Genomic DNA, 6,140 nt, shown 5'->3' with positions numbered 1-6,140 from the left:
GGATCACTTGAGCCCAGGAGGAGGAGGCTGCAGTGAGCCATGACTGTGCCACTGCACTCCAGCCTGGGTGATAGACAGGGAGAGAGACCTTGTCGCAAAAAAAAAAAAAAAAAAAAAAGAAGAAGAAGAAGAAAATTATTTGGCCATATATGCAAGGGTTTATTATTCTGTTTCATTGGTCCATATATCTATTTTTAAGTCAGTACCACACCATCTTGTTTACTAATCAGGAAATTTGTGGCCCCCAGCTTTGCTGTTTTTTTTTGTTTGTTTTTGTTTTTTTTTTTTTTGAGATTGTTTTAGCTTTTCAGCATCCTTTGAGATCCCACGGAAATTTTAGGATGGGTTTTTCTCTGCAAAGAATGCCATTGGGATTTTGATAGGGATTGCATTGAATCTGTAGATTCCTTTGAGTAGTATGGACATTTTTACAACATTAAGTCCTCTAATTCATCAGCATGGGATACCCTTCTATTTATTTGTATCTTCTTTTATTTCTTTTAGGTATGTTTTGGAGTTTTTAGTGTGTAAGACTTTTACCTCCTTGGTTAAGTTTATTCTAAACATTTTATCCTATTTGATACTATAGTAAATGGGATTGTTTTGTTTTCTTAATTTCCTTTTTTTTTTCTTTTTTTTAGACAGGGTCTTACTCTATTGCCCAGGCTGGAGTGCAGTGATACAATCTTGGCTCACTGCAACCTCTGCCTCCCAGGTTCAAGCAATTCTCCTGCTTCAGCCTCCCAAGTAGCTGGGACTGCAAGCACATGCCACCACGCCCGGCTAATTTTTGTATTTTTAGTAGAGATGGGGTTTCACCATGATGGCCAGGCTGCTCTTGAACTCCTGACCTCATGTGATCCACCTGCCTCGGCCTCCCAAAGTGCTGGGATTACAGGCGTGAGCCACCATGCCCGGCCTTAATTTCCTTTTTGGATTGGTCATTGTTAGTACATAGAAATGCAACTGACTTTTCAAAAAAACTTATGGAGCTATATGGTATTTCCTGTGTGGATGTAACATAATTTATTTAACCAGTCTTCTGTTAAGGAGCATCTGGGTTGTTTCTAATATATATATATATATATATATATAGAGACAGTGTCTTACTATGTTTCATATATATATATATATATATATATATATATATACACATATATATATGTATATATTTATAGAGACTGTGTCTTACTGTGTTACCCAGGATGGTCTTGACCTACTGGGGTCAAGCAATCCTCCCACCTCAGCCTCCCAAAGTGCTGGGAATACAGGGGTGAGCCGCCATGGCTGGCTGGCTTTTTTTGTTTGTTTGTTTGTTTTTTCAGAGATAGGGTCTCACTATGTTGCTCAGGATGGCCTTGAACTTCTGGGCTTAAGCAATCCTCCTACCTCAGCCTCCTGAGTAGTTGGAACTACAGGCCCACACCACTGTGCCCAGCTATCCAGTGTTTTGATGTTACAAATGATGCCGCAGTGAATAATCTTGTGTACATCTCATTTTGTCCCTGTAAAGTATATCTGTTGGATAAATTCCTAGAAGTTAAATTGCTGGGTTAAATAATATATGTATTTTAAAATTTCATAAATATTGCTCAAGAATTATGATTCTGACATAAAATAGGGGTTTTGAAGCTGTTTGTTTGCTTATTTATTTATTTATTTTCAGATGGAGTCTCACTCTGTTGCCCAGGCTGGAGTGCAGTGGCATAATCTCAAGTCACTGCAACCTCTGTCTCCTGGGCTCAAGCGATGCTCCCTCCTCAGCCTCCCAAGTAGCTGGGATTACAGGCACACACCACTACGCCCAGCTAATTTTTTTGTGTGTGTATTTTTGGTAGAGACAGGCTTTCACCATGTTGGCCAGGCTGATCTTGAACTCCTGAGCTCAAGTGATCCACTCACTTTGGCCTCCCAAAGTGCTGGGATTACAGGCTTGAGCCACTGAGCCCAGCCAAAGCTGTATATTAAAAATTATGGAGTAACTATTTTCTCAGCTGATTTGCTCTCTTTCAGGTACTGTATCTCTTATTCCCTTCCAAAACAAATAAGCACATTCACAAGTTACGCATTTATGGTCAAGAGTCAGAGAAAGGTCTAGGTTGCCTTCTGTGGCAATTTGAAGAAAAATGTGAAGATGTGTACCAGTAAACTTCTTCTAAAATAGTTGATGGGAACCCGTTGATAATCATCACTGAAAGCGATACACCTATATGTATATCAGTAAAACTTTGTCGGCCATCCTTTACTAACAAAGGAATTCTTTTTCTTTCTTTCTTTTTTTTTTGAGATGGAGAGATGGAGTCTTGCTCTTGTTGCCCAGGCTGGAGTGCAGTGGTGCAATCTCGGTTCACTGCAACCTCCGCCTCCTGGGTTCAACCAATTCTCCTGCCTCAGCCTCCCCAGTAGCTGGGATTACAGGCACCCACCACCACACCCGGCTAATTTTTTATATTTTTAGTAGAGATGGGGTTTCACCATGTTGGCCAGGCTGGTCTTGAACTCCTGACCTCAGGTGATCCACCTGCCTCGGCCACCCAAAGTGCTGGGATTACAGGCATGAGCCACCGCGCCTGGCCTCTTTTTCTTTTTTTTTTAAGTAAAAAAAAAATTTTTTTTAGAGAGGGAGCCTCACTATTTTTCCCAGTTTGGTCTTGAACTACTGAATTTAACCCATCTTCCCTTCTTGGCCTTCCAAAGTTAAGAGATTACAGGCATGAGCCACCATGTTCGGCTCAGGTATTCTCTTATGCTTCACAAATATAGTGAGTTGTTATTCACAATGTATTCACAAGTTGTTATTCACAACAATATTCACAAATGTTGTTCATTTTGAAAATGCTGTGATTATTGCTGGGCATGGTGGCTCACGCCTGTAATTCAAGCACTTTGGGAGGTTATGGTGGGAGGATAGTTTGAGCTCTGGACTTTGAGACATGAGCCTGGGCAACATCGAGACCTACTCTCTAAAAAAATAAAACAAAAAGATAAAATTAGCCGGGCTGTGGTGGCTTAGGCCTGCAGTTGTAGCTACTTGGGAGGCTGAGGTGGGAGGATCACTTGAGCTTGGGAGGTCGAGGCTGCAGTGACCCATGATCACGCCATTATGCTCCAGCCTGGGAGGCCAAGTGAGGCCCTGTCTCAAAACAAAATTAAAATTTAAAAAATCTATGATTGCTTGGCATGGTGGCTCATGGCTGTAATCCCAGCACTTTTGCAGGCCGAGGCGGGTGGATTACCTGAGGTCAGGAGTTCAAGACCAGCTTGGCTAACATGGTGAAACCCCGTCTCTACTAAAAATATGAAAATTAGTTAGTCGTGGTGGTGGGTGCCTGTAATCCCAGCTACTAGGGAGGCTGAGGCAGGAAAATCGCTTGAACCTGGGAGGTAGTGGTTGCAGTGAGCCGAGATCATGCCACTGCGCTCCAGCCTGCAGCCTGGGCTACAAGAGCGAGACTCCATCTCAAAAACAAAACAAAACAAAACAAAACAAAAACAAATTGTGATTATAGTTTTATTATTAAGTTTCTTTTGTGAGACTTGTCATTTAAAGCTGTTTAGTGTTGAGAAGTCTCTCAGCAACAGCTAGTTTCTACCTTAATAATTTCAATTCATTTAAAAATAATGTGAGGCAGGAGAATAGGGTTTGGAGGCAGGGAACCTAAGGCTGAGTAAAGTTGACTTCCTAGAACTGAATCAAAAGGAAAACCCCAACTTTCCACACCTAAGTAACAAAAAGACTACTCCCTTTGCAAATCCTCTTCCTTTTCCGCTTGGCAGATGGAAAACTGAAAGTATCTCTGATTGGTTGCAGAAAGCAGATGTTTGTATAGCAGTGTAACTTTGTAACTTCACTTTAGCCTCTGATTGGTTGCTGTCCACAACCAATTAGATGCTTGCATAGGGTGTGACCCTTGTAACTTCACTTTAGCCTCTGATTGCGGGCCACTACTTTATTTACATAGGGTGTACACCAAGTAACCAATGGAAAACCTCTAGAGAGTATTTAAATCCCAGAAAATTCTGTAATGGGGGTCTTGAGCCCCTGTGCTCTGGCAGCTCCTGCAGTCTTGTGGAGTGTACTTTCATTTTCAACGTGTCTCTGCTTTTGTTGCTTCATTCTTTCCTTGCTTTGTGCATTTTGTCCAATTCCTTGTTCGAAACGCCAATAACCTGGTAACATGTTGACTATTTACTATTTTTCTCATAGTGAAGTCAGTTGAACAGCAAGCACATTTCTGTGCTGCCTTGTGATGGAGTACATCATTCAAATTCACTGCATTTACCAAGGAGAAAAAAATGACTCCTGTAAATTGTATGTTGAAATGATATTTAATGTGTACAAGACAAAATCAGTATAGCAGGTACAGAGGTCTGGTTTCTATAATTGCCAACTGAACTCAAACATTTGAAAGATATAATTGCAATGTGTACAGGCGTCTGTTGATTAAAAAGTTGCCTGAGGCCAGGCGCGGTGGCTCACCCCTGTAACTCCAGCACTTTGGGAGGTCGAGGTTGGAGGATGGCTTGAGCTTAGATGTTTGAGACCAGCCTGGGCAACAGACAGACCTACCTCATCTATACCAATACATAAATACATAATTAGCTGGGCTTGATGGCACGCGCCTGCAGTCCCAGCTGCTTGAGAGGCTGAGGTGGGAGGATTGCTTGAGCCTAGGAGGTCGAGGCTGCAGTGAACTGCGTCACGCCACTGCACTCCAGCCTGGGTGACAGAGCTAGACCCTGTCTCAGAAAAAAAAAAAAAAAAAGTTGCCTGAGCCTATCAGATTTTCAAAGTGTTTCATTCAAAAAAGGCTCCCCTCTTGCTATCCCAGTAGAAAGCAGCAACCCTGTCACCTAACCCCGACAGGAGCTCTTGCATATTTCAAGAAAAATAAATAGAATGAACTAAAGCATGCATGGCAGAATAAATTTGGAAATAAATTTCGAAGCGATTAGATTTTAGAGGACTTGTTTGTGATTAGCAGAGATTACCAATGTAAAATCAAATTATAGATCATAAAAGCGGGAAAGGCATTTACAGATCATCCAGCCAAGCTTCCTCTGTAATGAGAAGGAAGCAGATCTAAATTGATTGGTTTGTGAGCTAAACATCACATCAAATTGGGGAAATGGCCCGTGTGTGTGTGTGTGTGTGTGTGTGTGTGTGTGTGTGTGTGTGTATTCTAAGAGACACTTTATTCAATATGGAAAGAATTTTATGCAGCGTTCAAGTTGGTCTTATGTCGTCTGCACACATATACATATATATAAGTATATTATACACATATACATTTCCAAGCATGTTGGTGTGCCAAATATTATGTATAAAACATCTAGGAAAGCAAATAACTTGATGATAGCCTAGCATATAGGAAAGAAAATACTTACATAGGATGGCCATACAGATTAGTGGTTAAGAGTGTCTGGTGAATCTCGGCTCCACTACTGTGGGACTTTGTGTCTTGGTTTCCTCATCTGGAAAATGTAGGTTTGTCTACCTCAGAGAGTGTAAAGATTAAATGAGATAACCCGGATAAAGGATTAGTGTAGTGCCGAGCATATAGTAAACTCTCAATAAATGTAGGTTGCTGTTATTACTTCGTTAATATGTCAAAGAAAAAAGAGGTTGGACCAAAAGAGCATTTTCAAAATAAAGTCAAACTATGTCACTAGCACTTTCAGGTCAATTGGGACTAAATTGGACCCCCTGCGAAAAGGTGGAGGGGATCAAATGACGTCGACCGCCTTAGCAACAGGCCCCCAAAGAAGGTGAATTTCCGTAGCCAATAAGACTCTGTGCTTTGGAGGAGGTAGCCAATGGCTGACGGAAAGAGAAAGAGGGAGGACGCGCCAATTCTCCTGCCTGAGCCTCGGCCCAACAAAATGGCGGCGGCAGCGGTGTCGCTTTGTTTCCGCGGCTCCTGCGGCGGTGGCAGTGGTAGCGGCCTTTGAGCTGTGGGGAGGTTCCAGCAGCAGCTACAGTGACGACTAAGACTCCAGTGCATTTCTATCGTAACCGGGCGCGGGGGAGCGCAGATCGGCGCCCAGCAATCACAGAAGCCGACAAGGCGTTCAAGCGAAAACATGACCGCTGAGCCCATGAGGTAAAACGCAACCCCGTCTCATGGGCCCCAGCGGTC

The 6,140-nt window shown here is 42.4% G+C and overlaps 1 protein-coding gene across 11 annotated transcripts in view, besides 2 other annotated features; it reads left to right on the top strand.

Annotated features, from left to right (window-relative positions):
- Positions 5,797-5,986: an enhancer, noted in NCBI's record as "active region_29780". NCBI's record gives its function as "activates an Ori minimal core promoter by ATAC-STARR-seq in GM12878 lymphoblastoid cells {active_cell/tissue: GM12878}" and the evidence as "EXISTENCE:reporter gene assay evidence [ECO:0000049][PMID:35858748]".
- ATRX (ATRX chromatin remodeler) overlaps positions 5,870-6,140 on the top strand; it is a 281,337-nt gene continuing 281,066 nt past the window's right edge. For all 11 annotated transcript variants that reach the window (XM_005262156.5, XM_005262157.6, XM_006724666.5 and 8 more), the window contains exon 1: positions 5,870-6,104. Coding sequence is in view for 10 of the 11 variants with exons in the window: in XM_005262157.6 (XP_005262214.2) it covers positions 6,085-6,104 (20 nt within the window). In the remaining variant the exon portion in view is untranslated. The remainder of the gene's footprint in view (positions 6,105-6,140) is intronic.
- Positions 5,997-6,106: an enhancer, noted in NCBI's record as "active region_29779". NCBI's record gives its function as "activates an Ori minimal core promoter by ATAC-STARR-seq in GM12878 lymphoblastoid cells {active_cell/tissue: GM12878}" and the evidence as "EXISTENCE:reporter gene assay evidence [ECO:0000049][PMID:35858748]".

The sequence above is a fragment of the Homo sapiens genome, chromosome X (genome assembly GCF_000001405.40).
Source record: "Homo sapiens chromosome X, GRCh38.p14 Primary Assembly".
In the NCBI taxonomy this organism is placed as follows: Eukaryota; Metazoa; Chordata; class Mammalia; order Primates; family Hominidae; genus Homo; species Homo sapiens.
This window is presented reverse-complemented; position numbering and strand designations above follow the sequence as displayed.